This window comes from Homo sapiens, chromosome 2 (assembly GCF_000001405.40).
Source record: "Homo sapiens chromosome 2, GRCh38.p14 Primary Assembly".
NCBI classification, from domain to species: domain Eukaryota; kingdom Metazoa; phylum Chordata; class Mammalia; order Primates; family Hominidae; genus Homo; species Homo sapiens.
Window position 1 is genome coordinate 196,585,278 of NC_000002.12, and position 21,533 is coordinate 196,606,810.

At 42.7% G+C, this 21,533-nt stretch overlaps 1 protein-coding gene across 6 annotated transcripts in view, besides 2 other annotated features; it reads right to left on the bottom strand.

Annotated features, from left to right (window-relative positions):
* HECW2 (HECT, C2 and WW domain containing E3 ubiquitin protein ligase 2) overlaps window positions 1-8,277 on the bottom strand; it is a 399,483-nt gene extending 391,206 nt beyond the window's left edge. For 2 of the 6 annotated variants that reach the window (NM_001348768.2, XM_006712646.4), the window contains exon 1: window positions 8,231-8,277. The gene's annotated coding sequence lies outside the window, so the exon portion shown is untranslated. Of the gene's footprint in view, window positions 1-7,186; window positions 7,707-8,230 lie in introns of those variants that run through there. The other 4 variants (XM_047445197.1, XM_024453020.2, NM_020760.4 and 1 more) reach the window with 2 other exon arrangements.
* Window positions 7,506-7,885: a silencer, noted in NCBI's record as "silent region_12204". NCBI's record gives its function as "represses an Ori minimal core promoter by ATAC-STARR-seq in GM12878 lymphoblastoid cells {active_cell/tissue: GM12878}" and the evidence as "EXISTENCE:reporter gene assay evidence [ECO:0000049][PMID:35858748]".
* Window positions 7,966-8,235: a silencer, noted in NCBI's record as "silent region_12205". NCBI's record gives its function as "represses an Ori minimal core promoter by ATAC-STARR-seq in GM12878 lymphoblastoid cells {active_cell/tissue: GM12878}" and the evidence as "EXISTENCE:reporter gene assay evidence [ECO:0000049][PMID:35858748]".

A 21,533-nucleotide genomic window follows, 5' to 3' on the forward strand; every position in this document is an offset into this window, starting at 1 on the left:
CTTTTATACCCATTACTTAGCATAGAGCCTGGCATATAAGGTTCAATGAATAATGCATGAATGACTTTTGTCCTAGTATTAAATAAGGGCCATCACAATGGATGACTTATTAAACAAAAGACAATGATTCCATCTTTATTAAAAGTCCAAAGAGGGGAAAAAGGAAATGAGTCTTTATTAAAGAATGGGGTTTACATTTAAATGCATGCTATAGCTGGATATCGGACATTAGGATGAGTTAGTTGAGCAAGGTACAGAACTTCCCTTCCCTAGGGGCTCCTTTCCCTTGTTCCCTGAATAGCACATATATCTGCCTAGATAACAGTGATACAGAAGATGAGCTCTTCTAGCTCGTGTAGCTTAGAGATGCCAACTCAATGGCTTAAAGAAGGAGAGAACAAAGGAGGAGAAGGAGAAAGAGAAGAGAGGAAAAAATGGAGGGAGGAAGGGGTGGGGGCCTATACGGAGGGTATCCAATACCACTATAAGACCAGAAGAAATCATTCATTTTTTCTAGATTATGCCAATGGCAATAAAGATTATGTCCTGAAAACCTTAGAGTATGAAGTCCATTTGGATAAAATGAAGTGAAGCCTAAGGCAAAAACTTAAGAAAGATCATATCCAACTGTCAGAGAAATCTGACAGTTTTCTCTACCTCCTTCAGCCTGTACTCCCTGCCACCCAATATCTTCATGCAAAATCCTAAAAGTCTGGGTCCCTCCTGCCATGGTTCTCTACATGCTCTCAAATACCAAATATACACTCGTGTCTACTCCCCATCAAAACTTACTGGGTCTAAGTTCTATTACTTTGAGCTCTTATTCTTCTAGCAGGTCACTGAGAGATACTATGCTTATGATATAAATGGCTGTCTATTACTGAAAATATCACTTCCTTAATTTACAGTCAATGTGAACTTCCAACTCCCTAATAAAAAATTTCATAGTCTAAGATTGTGGCATATTGTTTTATTTGTTAATAATTCTCCCTTCCCTCTCTGTCCTTGCCACAGTTCACCACGGGCTAAGCATATGACTTAGGTATACCACTTGATATAACACAAATCATTTCTAATCACTGTCATAAGGAAATGTTTTTCTTGCTCCAAAGATATCTTACTCCACAGATAAAATATTACACGAGCACCTTTCCACTATGCAGCTAGCATATGTCAGCTTGGGGAAGCAGTCTTACACTCACTGCCCATCACTTTGCACAGCAAACTCACAGACACAGGGGCCACAGTTTGGTTGAATCCATAGTTTCCACTGTTTCTTTTTGTATTTCCTCAAGATCAGAGGGTATTACGTCTTCTCCATGAAGTGGGTAGCATGTGGATTGGCTTCTTTCTAAGTACAACTCCTTTTCTTCATGAAGCCATCACCTTATCTGTACCTGAGCCCAGTACCCTGTCAGTTCTGTCCCGAGCAACTTTTCCACTCTCATGAATAATGGTTAACCAAAAAAAAAAAAACAAAAAAAAACTCTTCCTATAGCACAAGTTTTCAGTGACAAATGAACAAAAGCATCACCGAGCACTCATTTCTGAACAAATGCCAAAAGCTGATTCATTCTCTGCATGACATCGGTGGTTTCATCCAACCATAAAGTGAAATATCTGCTAGCGTGCACTTGATAGTAATCGCTCTTCCACACTCCACTCCACTGATATTATGCCACAGCCAACCATGTTATTTGACAAAGGAGTTTTGTCAATAACTTCTGGTTTCTCTCTAAGGATAATGTTTGTCTTTAACTTTCCAGCTGATTTTCCAAGTGTCTCTTCAATAATATGACTCATACTTATTTTGCTACAAGGATCCTTTAATGATGCTAATAGAATTATAATCTCTTACCTACCTTTAGCCATATAATACATTAATTTTATAAAGGAAAGCATTATTGTGTGCCTGTCCTAGAAAACTTCAATAGTATAACAGAGAAGCCACTGTGCTTTGTTCGAAAATGACACAAAAACATCCATGGCTTCATGCCACTATTGGACAAAGTTTCATAACAGGCAACGATTACGGATTCATTTGGTCCTAATGGGGATAGCAAGTCCAATAAAAAATAGTTTTGAGATAGTCATTGTCATATTTCCATTTGCACTTTTCAATTTCAGCTACTGTTCTGAAATTGTCACTCTCAGAGATTCCCTTGTCTCTATACATACATATTCCCATTTTATATGCAGTGGGATTCAGTTCTCTAAGTATGTTTATGGTATTCTGAAATGTAGCATTTACAGTACTATTTTCATCACTATTTTTACACTTCAATGAACTACTTTTGAACCACTTATCTAGTTTTGTGAAATGGGAATACAATTTAAGAACAGCAAAAACAAAAAATATTCTTTTAACAAATAAAAAATAAGTAAATGATATAAAAATTATATTAACAAACATGAAGTGGACCATTAACAAAATGTAAGCTATACGCACTCACCAGTGCAGTCTTTGCAGCACAAATACAATCTTAAATATTATAATAAGTTTTAAGAACATAAGGGGATGTCTGCTGAAATCATAATTAAATGGCCTATCTCAAGGCCCTACAGGCTTTGCAACACCCACACCACCCTTCTGGTCTCATTTCTGACTTCCCCCTTGTCATTCCACCCCATCATGCTGATCTTGCAAATCTTTGAACATATCCAAACACATTCTTTTCTCAGGGCCTTTGCACTGGCCATCCTGCAACTCTATCCCTCAGGTATTTGTATTAAGCAACTTCTCTTACCTTCCGTTAACTCTTTGCTTAAGGTCTCTTTCTCCATGAAGCCTACTCAACCACACTTACCCTGTCCTACTTTCTCTTTCTTCCAAAGCACTCATCTCCTTCTAGCATCATATATAATTTAGTTATTTGGTTTATTATCTGTCTCCCACCTCCCACCTGCCTGCCCCCAACAGAATGAAAACTCTACAAGGTCAGAGATCTTTGTTTTATTCATTGATATATTCCCAGCACCTAGATCAGATACTAACCCGCAGATGGAGCTCAATACATATTACTTGAATGAACAAATAAATGAATGGATGAATGAATTAAATTTTTTCATTGCTTTTCCCTTCTAACCACCAAACTGCCTATGGATCTTACTTTGAGAATTAAAAAGAAAATGATAAGCCATCAGAGGTTTTTAAGCAAAAGAATTATATCAATAGAATGGTATTAAAATAGACAAGGTCAGGAGATGATTTAAAGTTTGGAGAGGCTAGATCCAAAGAGTTTAGTTAAAAAGTCAACCAATGAAAGAGATAAGGAAGGGCATAAATTTCCAATTACCAGGACTTCTTAAGTGGTTTATTTCAAACCTACAATTCACATATCCATAGATACATTATCAATGTTTATCTATACATACATTGCATACACACACACACACATATACGTTGAACAAGACTAGAAGAAGCTAAGGACATTTCTCATCATATGGATATAATACATATACAAGCTTATCACTTGAGTCATAGTTAGAACAGCCATAAATCCTAGTTTTCCTGGCACAGTCTCAGTTTATACTTGTTGATCTAATGCCCCTTCCAGTTAGTACCATATTTTACTCTCAAAAGTGTCCTTGTCTGGATTTTTTTAAATTACATAGTCATCCTACTTATAAAAAAGATACATAGGCCGGTCACGGTGGCTCACACCTGTAATCCCAACACTTTGGGAGGCCGAGGAGGGTGGATCATTTGTCAGGAGTTCAAGACCAGCCTGGCCAACATGGTGAAATCCTGTCTCTACTAAAAACACAAAAATTTGCTGATGGTAGTGGTGCGTGCCTGTAATCCCAGCTACTTGGGAGACGGAGGCATGAGAATCGCTTAAACCCAGGAGGCGGAGGATGCGGTGAGCCAAGATTGCACCACTGCACTCCAGTCTGGGCAACGGAGTGAGACCCTGTCTCAAAAAATAAATAAATAAATAAATTTCTTCTTATTTAGACATGCTGACCAAGCTTTTGAGGACTTCAGTGGAGTGAGTTTGGGAAAGGTGACAGCCATAATTAATTATAACATCCACTGGCCAACATAGTAAGTGAGCTGTGTTACAAACACACAATTCTTTGGTAAAGGAGCATAGCAACTACTGCAGAAGCAAATGCCACAAACTTCATATATCTAAGTTGGGTAAAGAATCCAAACCCTTGCCAGGTCACCTGCACAATCTCAAACCCCCAAGAGAATTTTCATGTGGTGAACAGACACAACAGTTCTCCCTCTCTGCGACCCCTCTGTATGAAAAGCTGAGACCCAAACCAAACACTGGAGACACAAGGGAGTACAGAAAACAAAAGCCCTCCTATTATCCTCATGGCCCTGAGAGCTTGGAAACTAAGAGAATGTGGAATCAAGTCTTCACAACAACACTTGTGTTCTGGAATCTCAGTAAATATCCAAGATCTGGACCAGACACTAGATCTTGAAACTTGCATTCCTACCTCTAAGAGCCATGGTAACCACTAGGTCTGCAAACAGGTTTTGTAGAAACTGCTCTCCCAAATCAAAGGATTTGTCCCAATTAGTGTCAGCTCTAGATATATGGACAGGTGTTAATTCATATTGTGCTTGAAGACAATAATAATATGGGCTTACAGCCACGGCAGATGCTTAGTAACTTAAGAATAAAACTATTTTATTCACTATGTGTGTAAATAGATGACAAGCAATTATCTCATTCTCCTATCTTCCTTCCTCCTATTTCATTTTTTCTTATATATTTTTCAGGTTTAAATTTTTCTGATTTTCTAGCTTTGCATTTAATAAATAAAAGACTGAAATAAGGCAAGACTCAAAATCTGGTGTCGGAAGAGGGGTGATGAAAAAAATTCAGGATTCCTTAATATCTAGGGTGACCAGATAATTATCACCCAAACCAGGACACTTTTACATGTGAAAGGGGGTGCTTTTGATAATTAAGATAAACCAACAGGAGTAAACTGGCACTGTCACAAGCAAAGCAGGGCATCTCGTCACCTTTCTAATCTCTCATTCATATCCTGATACAAAAGGCATCCTGTGTGTAATGAAGCAACCTCTGCCTCTGTTAAATCAATCAAACTTCAAACATAGTCCTCCCTCTTTCAGGCCAGGCCTGGCTTTTGATAACAGAGCTGGAAAGGTTTTCACCCAATGCTGCCATTCCCTATCCAACACACCAAGCAAAACTGGTTCCAGTTTTTCCCAAGAAAGTAGTCAGCAATGCACAAGAATGTGGATCCAGGCCAGGCCCACAGCAAGCCCCAGGCGAGAAGCCTCTGGTTTCTCTTAAAGGAACACTTCACAACAGAGAAAGCCACCTGGTTAGAGGTTACACAGATACCAACCATATAGACTTAACAAGCATTTTGAATGCAAGATCATTTCATTGATGTGTAGGCACATATTAAAACTGGGAAGATCCCAAAAGCCACCTCTCCTGCAAAACACATTCATCTAGGAGAAAACGCCAAAGCATCTGTCCTCAACTACAGGTAACAACCTTGGTTTCTTTGCCTTTGGCTGAAATCAGTGTTGCAAAAGCCTTTTAAAAGAGTAAGAAAATATAGGTTTTTCTCCCAAGATCACATTGCCCAAGTGAAACAGAACCAGTGCTTACTTTTATTTTTTGTCTCCTGTTCAGAGGGGTCAAACATTGCTCATAATCTTCATTAAATTTAGTCCTGTGGCTGGCAAATGTTAATTTACTGGAATATTTTCCTTCACATTCATAAAGAGGGAAAACTAGCTTTGTGATCTGGTTGCAATCTACACAACACATAGATAATCCACAACAGTGGTAGGCGCAGAAAAGCTCCAGCTGGTTTATCTCAAATGTTCAGAATGATTTTGATTTCTTTACCGACACCACAGCCATTCATAAAGATTCATTGCCAAATGTTGCCCAATACCGTGATAGAGGCGATGGTGAAGCGAATGTCTTAGACTGGGAAATCATCATGGTGCCCAAACCTCAGAGTCTGCGGCCAAATGGTGGGGATTTGGAAATCACCTGTCACGGAGATGGTGAAGGAAACTGGATTCAAACTAATGAAGACTAAAGTCTTTCCAGCCAGAAGACGGTTTGAGTCCAAGGGGCCATTTATATACAAGAGCTAAGAAAGGTGCAACTGATTTTCCCCCAGAAGCAGCACGATTATTTTTAAGTTCAAAGACATTTTTGTTAATAAACTGCTTCACACAACCACATCGAAGCCAAAATGTGCCAATGAAATAATCAAAACAAATAGCTCAATTGGGACTTTTTGAATGTTCAACAAAAAGAAAAATTAAAGCTGGTTAGACTGCTGGATAGTAACGTTACAGTGTCTCCTTTAAGAGATCAAAATGTCTTTGCCACCCTCCACCCCACCCTACCCCACCTCTAATAGTGAAGTGGATAATTTCTGAAGAATACAATGACCCTTTATGCCTGGCTTCTCTAGTCTGCTAGGGATGCCATCTGTCTCCCACGCTATATAAACAATCCCCGCAGGAATCTTCTGATGACCAAACAGATTAGCAAACTCCAGATTTTCACGCCATTAATAATATCCCCATCCAGATTAGGCCTTTTATTTTAATAACTCCAAAGATAAAGTCAATAACTGATCTTTCTTTCTTTGTAGATAATGTGTGTGTCATTTTAAAGATAACCTCTTGGAACATACAGCCATCTGTTGGGAAGAGAAAGAAAAAAAGCTCTCTCAAAGCAACAGAAGAAATGAACCCTCGAGGGAATAGGAGAAATAGTAAAAAGAAAATCATATTTATAAGACAAACACATGGAGAGCTCTACTAATTACACTAAAATATTCTTCTTCTAAATGACAAACTATAGAACACTACTCCAGAAAAGACAAGTTTCACACTTTCACAAAGGTATATATATACGAAAACAGTTTGCGTGAGTCTAGGACAGTGAAAGCAGAAATCATAACCCAAAAGCTAAAGGCCCCCGAAGTTTGCATGCTGTCCACCTCTATCTGTAATGATCACAAATGTTTTCCTTCCTGAAGTTTAATATCGATTGAACCCTTGTAACTCTAATTGTGAGCTCTCTGTACTGACTCCAAAGACTTCTAACTCTAAAAGAAATGTGCCTGTAAAGATGTTCTCTAAATTAATAATAATAAACGACGAAAAGCACCCGAGCGCTGCTAATAGTGAAGACAAGGCATGAGAGAGTCAGACCTCTGCAGTCTCGCGTCCTCGGAAACGTCTACGTCTAAATCTGCAGCCCCAGTTTGCTCCAGGCCCCAAGCTCCAGCAGAGGATGTTCACGGCACATTCCCAACCAAAAAGGAAATGAAGCGTCCTCTCCCTCAACTGATGCTCAAATAGACCCCAAAGTCCCAGTTTCCCTGGAGAACCAAACCATCCAACACATCCTGGGCAGCGGAAACCGAAATGGCAAATGAATGACCGCGCCGGGGCGCAAGGGAGGAAAAACAAAGCCACCTCCCGCCGTCCGCTACCTGCGGCGAGGGCCGCGCGCTCACCTGGGCTTTGCGCCCGTCGCCACAAGCTGCGGGTGGGGACCCGGCCGCGGGGCGGGAGGGCGCCCCCAAAGTCGCCCGGACCCGCGGCCCCGGCGCCCTGCGGCCGGTCCGTGCGCGCCGAGGAGAAAGCAGGCGGCCGGGGGCGCCGCCGCGCGTTGCATGCAGCTCACGGCTGCTGCGGCCGCTGCCACGGAGCCGAGAGTCTCTGCGCTGCAGTCCCCGACCCCGAGACCGCGAGAAGCGCCCGGAGAGACGCGGCGCAGGGGCAGAGCGCGCTCGGCGCGCCCCTCAGCGGCTCTTCCCGCCGCCCTCCGCAGCGGGCTGGGTCTCGGCTCGCCTTTGTGCTGGCATCTTCCTAGCTCCCAGCGACACCCAGAGCTCTCGAGGCGGCTCCGCGCCGCCACCCACCCCCGGGTTACGCCACGGCCCCCGCGCGACCCGCCGATTGTGTCGAGTCAGCAGCGGCAGCGGGGACGCGCGAAGCCATGGCTCCCGCCCGCGCTCGGGAGGGCGCCGGGGGTCCTGCGCCTCCGGGAGGTTTGTGGCCGAGCGCGGCGCGGCCCCGAGCGGCCCCGCAGCGCCCGGCTCCCCGCCGCTCGCTCTCCAGGCGCCGACCCGCCTGCGTCGCCACCCTCTCGCCGCTCCCTGCCGCCACCTTCCTCCCGCCCGGGTGCCGGGCGTCCGCTCCAGCCGCGGTGCCCCGGTCCGCGGAGAGCGAAGAGTCCGGCCTCCTCACCTCCAGCCGCGCCGGCGCCCTTCCCGCTAGACGCTTCGGCGGCATCTGCCCGCACCGCCCTGCGGGACGCTGGGCTGGGAGCTGGCGGCACGTCGGGGACCGGTGGAAGGGAGGCGGGGGCAGAGGACAGGAGGGACAGCCAGACCTTGGCCAGCGGGACCTCCCTGAGGAAGGTGCGGAAGAACGGGGCGGGTGCGGCTGGGCGGAGGACGAGTCCCGAGGCTGCGGCGGAGCCTGAGTTGCTCTCCTTCTGCGAAGTCGAAGGACAGGAGGATTCCTAGAGGTGTCGCGGAGGGTGGAGGAGACCCTCTGAGGTCGTGCAGACAACACTGTTCCTCAACCCCACCAGAAAGCTGAATAGGGGAGTGTCATGCCTCGGTTTCCCCAACTGCAAGGGCAAGACGGTAATACTCATGTCGCACACACAGGGTGTGGTCACGATGAAAAAATGGATTATTGAAAGCGTTCCCAGATACTTTGCCTAAAGAGGGCACTAAAATTTAAAATTACTGTATTAATACTTTCGGCTTTCTGTTTACTTCTATAGCATCTTCATCAACCAGTCCCACGTAGGAGAAAAAGTAAAAATGCTAAAGTGTAAATATATTGTGTCCCTCCCCACCCACCCTTGCATCTGTCCAGATTTAGGGAAGATTTATTCAATTTTACAATTTAACTATATCCATATGGAGTAAGTCCCCAAATAATGGATAGCCATTCCTTTGGGACTTTTGAGTGTGTGCTCAATATTATCCATTTCTCCGCCTTTTCTGGTAACAGCAGTTCATTATTCCTATGGGAACTGCCCTTCCCCCTCACCCACAATGAGTCTTTGTGGCTCCAGGGTACTGACACCTCCCACCCTCAACCCCCAGAACTAGCCAGTCATCTTCCGGACCGCAGTGATCGGTTCTGGGTTGGGCATGTTGATCCAGGAACTCGGCCTAGGGCTTTGGATGTATTACTGCAGAAAAATAAGCTCTTTAAACTAGGATAACTAAATTGGAAGGATATAAGCCTACGGTAACAAGGACCAACAGTGCATGCCAATGAAGCCAACTTTGAGGGAAGAAAAGCTGCTGGTGAGAGGGTGATGTCCCACCCTCTCAGGAACCTCAGGAGGTAGATGTGTCTGCAGTGAACTCTACCCTTGAAGCCAATAAATCCTCTCTCTTTTATTTCAAGTCAGTGTCAGCTGTGTTTTGTCACATGTCTCAGAGGAGCCCTGACTTCTTAGTCCCCTGGATCTATCAGCCCAGGCATCACTGTTAGGATCCTCCACAGAATCAAAGAGCCCCACCCCACAAAAGGCCCAATTCCAGTTCTTGCTGGAAGAACAGGGATCCTAGAGGTTTGTTCCCACATGATGTTCTCCTTCACAACTTACTCAAATCCAGCAACCCCACACCTGCAATCCTTAGCTTCTTTGTGTTGATTAACCACTATGTTACATTCTAGTCAAAATGGGCCAGGTGCAGTGGCTCACACCTGTAATCATGCCTGAGGCAGGAGGATCTCTTGAAGCCAGGAGTTTAAGACCAATCTGGGCAACATAGTGAGACCCCACTAACACAGGAACAGAAAACCAAACACTGCGTTTTCTCACTCATAAGTGGGAGCTGAACAATGAGAACACATGAACACAGGGAGGAGAACATCACATCAGGGAGGAGGGGCCTATCGGGGGTTGTGGGGCTAGGGGAGGGATCTCATTAGGAGAAATACCTAATGTAGATGATGGGTTGATGGGTGCAGCAAACCACCATGGCACGTGTATACCTATGTAACAAACCTCCACGTTCTGCACATATATCCCAGAACTTAAAGTATAATACATTAAATAAAGAAAGAAATAAAAATAAAAATAGCCAGGCATGGTGGCCTGAACCTGTAATCGCAGTTACTCTGGAGGCTGAGGCAGGAAGATCAGTTGAGCCCAGGATTTCAAGACTGCAATGAGCTGTGATTGCACCACTGCACTCCAGCTTGAAGACAGAGCAAGACCCTGTCACCTTGTCAAAAAAGAAGAGGAAGAGGAAGAAGAAGGAGGAGGAGGAGGAAAAAGAAAGAAAGAAAAGAAAAACAGAAAAAGAAAGAAAAGAAAAGAGGAGGAAGGGAGGAAGGGAGGAAAGGAGGGAGAAAGAAGAACCCTAAAAATGAATAGAGGCAAAGTGAATCACTATTGCTGCCCTAGGTCTTAAAAAACATTTTTCTCTCACTTTAAAAGCAGCCCCTACTACCTTTAAAACTTTCTACATATCGACCATTAAAACCGAGACTAAGGCATCAAAGAACATTAATAGCAAAGTCATCCTAAAAATCTCAAACTTGCAAAGGTGTGTAAAGATTAGGTAGGTTCTTTCACACTGCACTCCCCGTTCGTCATCACCACCACTCTCCTTCACAAGATCTCTGACCGGGTCTCACTTATCCTCTCCTGGAGCCATTCCCTTAAAGAGAACTCAGTACTTTACAAGCTGGTCAATTCTGCATTGAAACTGGCCTGACATTAGGAAGTGATCCCTTATATTGAGTTGAAATATTTCTTCCACCTGAGAGTACTCCAAGCACTGAAGACAAACTTGTGAACCACTTGAATTGTCTCTTTTCCAAGATCTTTGCATGACCCATAAGTCATGCAGGACACATGGCAATGTGTCCTGACCCTTCATCATCCTAGGTTACTTCCTTTCTACAGATGTGCCAAGGTTTGTGACTGCTCCTTCTAAAGCATATGGCCAAAGCTAAACCCAAAGGCAGATTCCAAGAAACTTATACTCCAGCCCTCTTCCAACAACACAGAAGGAGCCTGAGAGACATGTTCATGTGGTCTTATATTTTTATAAAAGCTTCCAAAGTAAGATATTTTAATCTCAAGCGATTTGCAGTGGACTGAATGTTTGTGCTCCCCCAAATTCATGTGTTGAAATCCTAACCCCTAATGTGATGGTATTAGGAGGTGGGGCCTTTGGGAGGTGATGGAATAAATGCCCTTATAAAAGAAACCCAAGAGAGCTCTCTCACCCTCTTTCTGCCTCTTGAGGATACAAAGAAAAGATGGCAGTCTGCAACTGGAAGAGGGCCTTCCCACCCACATCACAACCACACTGGCACCCTGATCTCATTCTTCTGGCGTCCAGAACTGTGAAAAATAAATTTCTGTTGTTCATAAGCCACCCAGTCTAGGATGCTTTGTTATTGCAGCTTGAATTAAGACAAGACTGCTGTCCCTTTTCATTCTAACTTCCGTGTTGTCCTAATTCCCCTTGTTCCGAAAGAAGTGGAGTGATTGTGGACATTTGTGGGGATCTGGCTAAAGGGAAGTTGAATTGGTTAAGTGGAATACATTTATGTGGTCTGTGGGCATTAAAGTTGTGACAGTGATGTCTATTTTGACTGTGCAAAGACAGTCACTTGGGCCCTTCAGTGTTGTGACACAAAGGTAAAGGGATGGAAATTATACCACCAAGTATTAATAACTGCATACTTCAGCACCCAGCACAGAAGTATATGGGTAACGGGGTAAATGATGTTTGAAATGTATGTACGGATTCAGAACTAGAATATGGAAAACCCTCCCACATCTTATTGTTTATATGTGAAATAAATTTAATAGTGATTTTCCTAAATTTTGAAACAATCCTAAAAATATGTTACTTTCCCAATAATGCATTGTGGACTGAAAAGAAACTCCTCTAAACTATCAGTAATAAAAACAAATTTTAGTCAACTTTACTAGTGAAAACACTGGAATATCTATTAACTCTATAGAACATAATGTCACAAAATCATTTTCATATGAAGAATAAATCAAAGAGTATAAAGCCAAAATACGTAGGAAAGACATATCACAGAGGTATGTCAGGCAGTTAATTAATTTAAAGATCGTGGTATTTTTCTGTATTTGGTGATCTAATACTTGTAAGGTTGTTTTGTTGTTGTTGTTGTTGTTGCTGTTTGGTTTTTTTTTTTTGAGATGGAGTGTCACTGTCGCCTAGGCTGGGGTGCAGTGGCGCGGTCTTGGCTCACTGCAACCTCCGCCTCCCAGGTTCAAGCAGTTCTCCTGCCTTAGCCTCCAGAGTAGGTGGGATTACAGGAACCCACCATCACATCTGGCTAATTTCTGTATTTTTAGTAGAGACGGGGTTCAACCATGTTGGCCAGGCTGGTCTCAAACTCCTGACCTCAAGTGATTCACCGGCCTCGGCTTCCCAAAGTGCTGGGATTACAGGCGTGAGTCACCATGCCCAGCCTTATAAGATTTTTTGAATGTGCGAATTGTTGTGATTTTTTTAATTCTGGATATATATTCTTTTCAGTACCTCATTTTGTATGTATAATGTGTATTTTTTTTTTCTTAAAAAGTGTCTTGAATTGGGAGTTCAAGACCAGTCTGGCCAACATGGTGAAAACTGTCTCTACTAAAAATACGAAAAATCAGCTGGGTGTGGTGGCAGGCACCTGTAATCCCAGGTACTCAGGAGGCTGAGGCAGGAGAATTGCTTGAACCTGGGAGGCAGAGGTTGCCGTGAGCCGAGATCATGCCATTGCACTCCAGCCTGGGCAACAAGAGCGAAACTCTGTCTCGAAAAAAGAAAAAAGAAAAGAAGGGAAGGGAAGGAAGGAAAGGGAAGGAAAGGGAGGGGAGGGGGAGGGAAAGGTGGGGGCGAGAGGGGAAAGAGAGGGGAAGGGGGGAAGGGAAGGGGAAGGGAGGAGGGGAAGGGGAGGGGAAGGGGAAGGGGGGAAGGGAAGGGGAGGGTAAGAGGGGAAGGGGGGAAGGGAAGGGGAAGGGAGGAGGGGAAGGGGAGGGGAAGGGGAAGGGGGGAAGGGAAGGGGAGGGTAAGAGGGGAAGGGGGGAAGGGAAGGGGAGGGGAGGAGGGGAAGGGGAGGGGAAGGGGAAGGGGGGAAAGGAAGGGGAGGGGAGGAGGGGAAGGGGAGGGGAAGGGGAGGAGAAGGGGAGGGAAAGGGGAAGGGGAGGGAAAGGGAAGGGGAGAGGAAGGGGAGGGGGAGGGGATGGAGAGAGGAGGGGGAGGGGATGGGGAGAGGGAGGGAAGAAGTGTCCTGAATTGTATAATCATCAGTCTCCACAGAACCTGAATCTGTCCTCAGTGTGACCTAATCTGTGTAGTATTCAAAGAACGGGAGCTTCCAGGCCAGGCACCGTAGCTCACGCCTGTAATCACAGCACTTTGGGAGGCCGAGGCAGGTGGATCACTTGAGGTCAGGAGTTCAAGACCAGCCTAGCCAACGTGGTGGAACCCAGTCTCTTCTAAAAATACAGAAATTAGCCAGATGTGGTGATGGGTGCCTGTAATCCCAGCTACTCCGGAGGCTGAGGTAGGAGAATCTCTTGAACCTGGGAAGCAGAGGATGCAGTGAGCCAAGATCACACCACTGCACTCCAGCCTGGGTGACAAAGTGAGACTCCATCTCAAAAAAAGTGGGAGATTCCAACTGAAGAGGTGACTAACTTAAGCACAATATTGCCTTGAGACAGTCATTTCTGTAGTATTTTATCTGTCAACAATCCTAAGAGAATGAATTAATAGTTACAGCCAGGGAATTTGTAGAATGACCAAAGGATATCCATTTGAATGCCAAAATATATTCTTAGATGTATTATGACTTTTCTGCCTTTTTAAAGAAAGTATACTAAAGATAATTGACTCATTATTTTCATAGTGGCTATGATTTATTTATCATGCTCTAATTCAGGGATACTCTTAGAAGCTTCTATGTAGAAGTGGTCTTGCCCTTAGACTAAATGGCCTCAGGCTTCTATCGGTTTTTTTGTTATTGTGGTACTTTAAGAGTAACTTTTTCTCTAGGACCTCGCATTTTTTTCCTGTCACCGCTCATTTTTTTCCTTTCTTGATAATCTTTCTTATCTCATTCTAATTTCCTGCTTGTGGTTTTATATGGAATTGATAGACTAAATAAATATTAGAACTTTGTCTAAAATGGCTTGTGGGAGGGAGGAGGTTCAGTGGATAATGGACATGAACTTTGGTGCATAAATTTCGTGATATCTATTTTGGTTGCTCAGTATCCTTTCTTTCTGTCTTCCAGTTCTCACTCATTACCAATGATGAGAATCTCTGGGTTCTCCATTTCACATATCCTTTAAGTAAATATTTAATAACCACTTACTAATGAGAAAGGATCTCTTCTAACTATTGAGGATGCAGAGGTGAAGGGAATAGACAAAAATCCCTGCCCTTGTGATGCTGATTTTCTAGTGGGATAGGGAAGCAGAGATCAAATAATAAGCAACATGTGGCAGAGTATCAGTGTTTACAAAATCCATATGCTCTTCTACATTTTCCATCCTCGTTTGCAATTAGGATAGCCATGTGACTACTTCTGGCAAATAGAACTTAAGGAGTTTTGATGGGGCTCACTTGTGGCTGTGAAGATTAAGAATATAGTGTGACTTCTCTCATTCTCTTTGCCTTCACTGGAAACCACAGGGGCCATGTGTTGAAAAGGTATCCTCACAAAATGGAAGGAGACTGGATCCCTGAGCCATCATTTGGTGGGGTCCTGTAATGTGAGCAAGAAAGAAAGTGTTAAGCTACTTAGATGTCACCCACACTCAGAGACTTCACTCATTTGTCTGCCTAAAATGGATATTTGGTGACCAGAAGGCAATATATTGGTCTTTACCAGTAACTATGTCCTTCTATATGTTTCCGAGGCTTCCTTGTGTTAAATGGCAATGTGACTAACTATCCAATGAAATGTGAGCAGAACTAATATGGGTCACATCTGGGCCGAGATGGTGAATTACATAACGTGCCTTCTCTGTCTCCCTTTTCCCCTTCCCTAGAGACCATGAAAGGCCACATTTTGAAAGATAGCAGCACTGCAACATGAAAGTCTGGCTTTCTGAGTTCCACTTGGAAAAGAGCTACCCAAGAGAATAGCTCCACTTACCCCTAGACTTGTTACATGAATAAGAAATAACCATTTCTCATGTTAAATCACTCATATTTAGGAGTTAGTTGTCAGAACTGCTAGTGTTACTGATCCTAAGCACAAATAAATCTAAAAATGTAAATTATGTTCACATAAGTATAAGAAAAGAAGATAGAGATAGAAAGTTTTCAAGGGGTTGGAATATTAGATAGTAAACACCCTCCCTGAGAAGATGACTTTTAAATAAAGACCGGAGAAAAAGAACCAAACAAGCAGTCATGTGGGGGGAGAGCATTCTAAGAAGGAGAAACAGGCCAGGTGCAGTGGCTCATGCCTGTAATGCCAACAGTTTGGGAGAGCAAGATGGGAGGATCATTTGAGTCCAGGGGGCTAGGTGAGGAGATTACTTAACCCTGGGAGGTCCAGGCTGCAGTGTGCTACGATCATGTCACTACTGTACTCCAGCTTGGGGAACAGAAGAAGACTTTCTCAAAAAAAAGAAGAAGGAGAAGGAGAAGAAGGAGGAGAAGGAGAAGGAGAAGGGAAACAGTAAGTACAAAGGTGCTGACTGTATCAGAGATTCTGTCCACCATCACCTTGTTTTTAAGATTCTTTACAGTAGTATTTGCCCATACCAAGTTTCCAAAAAATATATTATTTTTATGAGCTTCATTCATCCATTTATTCAAAAAAGTTAAGTATTCCAGTATTCCAGGGACTAATACAAAGATATGAGTTTAATGTAAATATAGTTATGATTCTGCTGCAAAGGTATTATTACTATTAATACTTATGTTTCATTTTGTTTTGTGTGTATGATTTCATCTTTCCTGCTTGGTAACAAAAACTTTTTTTTAATCTAAAAAAAGAAAGCCAACCTGATAAAATTAGTTGGCTGAAAAAATATAATGGTTAAAGGATTCTATTTAGATTAATTCTCAACTTGTTTAGTTTGGCAAGCCTCAGTCTCCCAGATTTGTCTCCACTCTCAAGCTAGTGGCTGGGAGGAAAGGTGGCAATGGTGGCTTCTGTGATTGCATGACAGCGGCTGGGTTGCTGGATCCAGCTGTCCTCATGGCATCCTTGAGCGTGCCGGCCTGTCATGGGGAGTGGCCATCTGGGTTGCCTGGACTGCAGAAGGTTGACTGGTCCCACCCTGGTGATTCCACTTATAGCAACTGACGCCTGTGGCTGCTGTGACTCACAGTTTGATCTCACAGTTTGATCTCTCAGCTTGCACGGGGCCCTGCATTGCTCCCTAGCGGATTTGACCTCCTCATAGTTGCTGCTGCTGCTGCTGCTGCTGCTGCTGCTATAGCTTCCTCTAACATTTAGTCACATGTGCCATCAATTCCATGGCCTGGGCTCAGTAAATAAAGTTAAACTCAGAGTTTCTCTCTGCCTAACCATGACACTGCACCCCTGAATTTACTTGGCTACAGCTGCTCTCAGGTTGGCAACAGGGCATCCTGTAAGGCAGTCTCCTTCCTAACCCTTAAATATAAGCTGAAGCAAGCGTCCCTGCCCTAACATATCCACTCTTCTGGGCCAAAGCCCAGAAAGGGCATATATTTTGAGGAATACATCTGCCACACGGTGGGCCTCTCCTGTCTGCCTTATCCCATGACCTGCGAGACCTGGAAGAGATGTCTTTGCTTTCACCGCCCCTTCCTGTTTACCTACGACTTCCTCTGGTCAGAAGCAGAGCCTCTGGGCTTCCCAGTGCCTTTATGGCATGTGTTCCCTCCCAAACGCAGCCACACTGCTAAGCCTCCATGGAGGTAAAGATGGGGAAAGAGGTCTGCTAAACAATGAGGGAAACTAAATCAGGAGGTATTTTTAAAATATTACACTCGCATTATTGGCAAAGGGTATTGAACTCAGTAAGTTCACTATATAATTTCTCTTTTGAGGAATTAGTTGCACTATTATTCTAACTTAATTGTGAGGAAATTGAAGCACAGAAAGGATAAGTCATTTACCAGGATCAGCACCAGGTTTTGAACTCCTCGTGCAGTGGTTTTTCTACCATGGGGTATTGTCTCTTGTGTTAAGCTAAGATAGCTTTAAAATTACTTCTTTCCTGAAGACACCTCAAATTAATCTCACTCTCATTCAAATTACTCGCTTGCTCAGATTTCTTTTGCATTTGTTTAAATCGTTTTTTTAAAGTTTCTTACCTTCTTATTGTTTTTATTTGTTAGTATATTTCATGATGCTACTACCCCCTTATAGCATTTTCAGTAATATTTATATAGGAAAATCCCCAAATCACTTTTTGAATGAATATATATCTTCACGACTTCCTGAGATGAGAAGGCAAAATAAACAAACATATAGAAAGAGATCCCTGAGAGGATAATACTTTGGTTATTATCCTCTAATATTTGGTTACCATCTATAACAATATGGGTGAATCTCTTAAGCATAATTATGCATCTAAGAAATATCAGCTGGGCAAGATGGCTTATACCTGTAATTCCAGCAATTTGGGAGGCTGAGGTCACATGAGGTCATGAGTTCGAGACCAGCCTGGCCAACATGGTGAAACCGCGTCTCTACTAAAAATACAAAATTAGCCAGGCGTGTGGCGGTGGGTGCCTGAATCGCAGCTACTCAGGAGGCAGAGGCAGGAGAATTGCTTGAACCTGGGAGGTGGAGGTTGCAGTGAGCCGAGATCGTGCCACTGCACTCCAGCTTGGGTGACAGAGCAAGAGTCTGTCTAAAAAATATATATATATGTGTGTGTGTGTGTGTGTGTGTGTATGTGTGTGTATATGTGTATATATGTGTATGTATGTACATATGTGTATATATGTATATATGTGTATATATACATATAGTGAATGCTTTAAAAAATCCAAAATGTATAATATAATTTACCTATTTTTTCTTGTTTATAGAAAAATATATCAGATCAACTCAGCAATTCCCCTTGGCTCCAAATTCTAACCTAAAACTTGATTCTGTTTGTTGAGAAGAAGACTGGGTGATGCTACAGTTTTTGGCCAAAGGAAAGACCTTTCCCAGAAGCTGTATCATTACTGAAACTTGGGCCAAGGAGTCTATGTTGTGATTTAGGACACAGAGGTGACAGCTGATGCAGCAATTAATCTAAGGAGAGCTAAATTGAAACAGAAACATAGAAAATACATTGCTAAATTTAAAGTGTGAGGTCCTAGAAAAATCATATAAAATTAAGAATTTTAATTATGGTGTCATTTTTAGTGTTATTCTTTACCTATGTCCTGTGCCAATGTTATACTACACAAAACTTATCCTTTGGCACTGGTTGTCTCTTATGCCAAGCCAATTCTCTGGGACCCATGTTCTACCCTTCCCTGCCCTTCTTTGAGTCCTGAAAGGCTGACACTATGGACTGCACAACAGGCTCTCTTGCCCTCTGGAACTGGGGGAGGTTGGAGAGGAGGGAGAGAGAAAACTGAGAGTGGCCGGGCGCGGTGGCTCATGTCTGTAATCCCAGCACTTTGGGAGGCCGAGGCGGGCAGAACGCAAGGTCAAGAGATGGAGACCATCCTGGCCAACATGGTGAAACCCTGTCTCTACTAAAAATACAAAAATCAGCTGGGCATTGTGGCACGCACCCGTAGTGCCAGCTACTTGGGAGGCTGACGCAGGAGAATCACTTGAACCCAGAAGGCAGAGGTTGTGGTGAGCTGAGATCGTGCCACTGCACTCCAGCCTGGGCAACAGAGTGAGCTTCTGTCTCAAAAAAAAAAAAAAAAGAAAGAAAGAAAGAAAGAAAAGAAAAGTGAGAGTGATTTTTTCCTCCCCAACTTCCTCCTCGACTTGGTGATGCAGGTCCAGCATCCCTCCTGTCAGTCCATGCCCCTTCCACTGCCCCAGCCCTCTCTGGACTCCAGGGACATCCTTGCCTTCCCTCCTCCCTTTGTGCCTATGAATAGTAGCAGCATCCCAGTGTTGCAGATCCCTGGGTGCTTCAACATTCCTTGTTAGTTTTCTTAACCCTGCCCAAGCCTCTGCGAATAGATGTTTCATGACATTATGTACAACATCCCAGCTCAACATGCCTTCTATTTTCTGCTGAGCTTTTGACAGACATTCTTTTTCAGGATATTTACACTCCAAGAAATGATAGATTCAGACACAGTTAGAAGTACATTTAGAGTAGACAGTCTTTACAGTTCAGATTAATAGAGTTTGAGTCAATACAAACCAAATCAATTGCCATCAGGTCATTTGAGACCTAGCTTCATTGAGAATTTTTACTTACATTTTGAAGGTTCAAAAATTTTAATTTTATCAATTTACCTGGAGATAATGGAACCATAGGGAATCTATTTATGTCAAACAAACCCATAGGACACTGAGTGATAATTCCAAAATTCAATTTATTAACTTGCAGAAGAAAATCTCTGGCATCAAAACTATTAGGCCATCCACCCAGGGTTCTCCCTTCTGGTGGGTAATACTGTTTAGAATCTGAAATAACAGATCAGATGTTTGTATCGTGTTGAGCACAGAGTTAGAACTAGAGGCGCTGGATATTTTTAAGGGAGTTTCCCATGAATTTATGTTGACATATGAATTGCTGTTATATACACAAGTATATGCCTACATTTAAAAAACAAAAAACAAAAGCAAACACAGTACCTACAGGGAACACTATACAGTAATAGGGATAAACAAATTATAACTACATACCAATACGTCTTGACTTATGATGGGGTTACATTCCAATAAAACCATTGTAAGTTGAAAGTGGGTTTTGACTTACAATATTTTCAACTTACAACAAGTTTATCCAGATATAACTGCATCATAAGTTGAGGTACATACTGAATGCATGTTGCTTTTGCACCATGGTAAAGTGGAAAAATAATAAGTAGAACCATTGTTAAGTCAAGGTCTGTACAACCATTGTCTGAAACAATATGGTTGAATCTCCCAAGCGTAATGTTGAGCGAAAAAAGACACAAAAAAGCATATATTGTATGGTCAGGATAGCAATTACCTTGGGTGGGGAGGTTATGATTGAAAGAGAACCATGAGAGGGGATTCTGGGAAGCTGGTGATGTTACCTTATATAATCTTGGTGCTAGTTATACAGGTAGATTCATTTGTGAAACTTTATTGAGCCGTACATTTACAATAGGGGCTTACCTTTTGTATTTATATTGGAAGCCAATGAAAAATTTTTAAAAATTACCAGTACCACTTTTAGAACCAAAGCTTGCTCTCTTTCGGAAAATGCTATAGACCTACTGACAAACTACCACCCAACTTCTCCAAGGGGATACTCATTGATAGTACTAAACGCTTCTTCCGTGACATTATTTCAAGTAATAACATCCAGTGTTACAACTATTTTACATTAGCCTCTTATCATTTTCGGATATCTTCCAGATGAAACATAACACTTTTCTGGATGATAACACTCTTTTCCCATTCACAAAAATGCTTAGAAATCATTTCCTAAGCTTGGCTATTTCTGGAGAGTCCCATTGATGTGTTTCAATTTTTAATCTCATTATTTATATGTTTATATGTCTTCTTGATACATAAGAGCAGTGATTTGTAACCAGATGTGTGCCTTGGAATCACCACACACACTGAATCAAAGCCTCTATACTTAGAGTCTCTGCTGTGCTCTGAATGTTTGGGTCCCTCCAAAATTCCTACATTAAAACCTAATGCCTAGTGTGATAGTGTTAGGTGGTGGGGCCTTTGGAAGGTGATTAGGTAATGATGGAAGAGCCCTCATAAATGAAATCGGTACCCTTATTTAAAAAAAAAAAAAAAGCCCAGGTATCTTGTTTGCCTCTTTCACCATGCAAAGACACAGCTAGAAGATACCATTTATGAACCAGGAAATGGGTCCTTACCGGATACCAGCTCTGCTGGGGATGGGATCTTGGACTTCTCAGCCTCCAGAACTGTGAGAAATAAATTTCTGTTGTTTATAAGCTACCCAGTTTATGGTATTTTGTTATAGCAGCCCAAACAGACTAAGACAGTCTCCTCCCACTTTCTTGTCATACATATTTTGAGAATATGTCCCAGGTGAATTGTAACTTCCATAGTTAAAAACCATGCTCCTATGTGAACAGATATTTATATGCCAATGTTCACAGCAGCATTATTCATAACAGCCAAAAGGTGGAAACAACACAAATGTCCATCAACAGTGGAATGGACAAATAAAATGTGGCATGTACCTACAAAGGAATATTATTTATCCTAAAAAGGAAGGAAATCTTGACTCATGCTACGATATTAGTCCAAGTGAAATAAGCCAGACACAACAGGAAAAATATTGTATGATTCTATTTATATGAGATACCTAGAGTAGCCAAATTTATAGAAACAGAAAGTATAATTGTGGTTGCTAAGATCTTGCGGG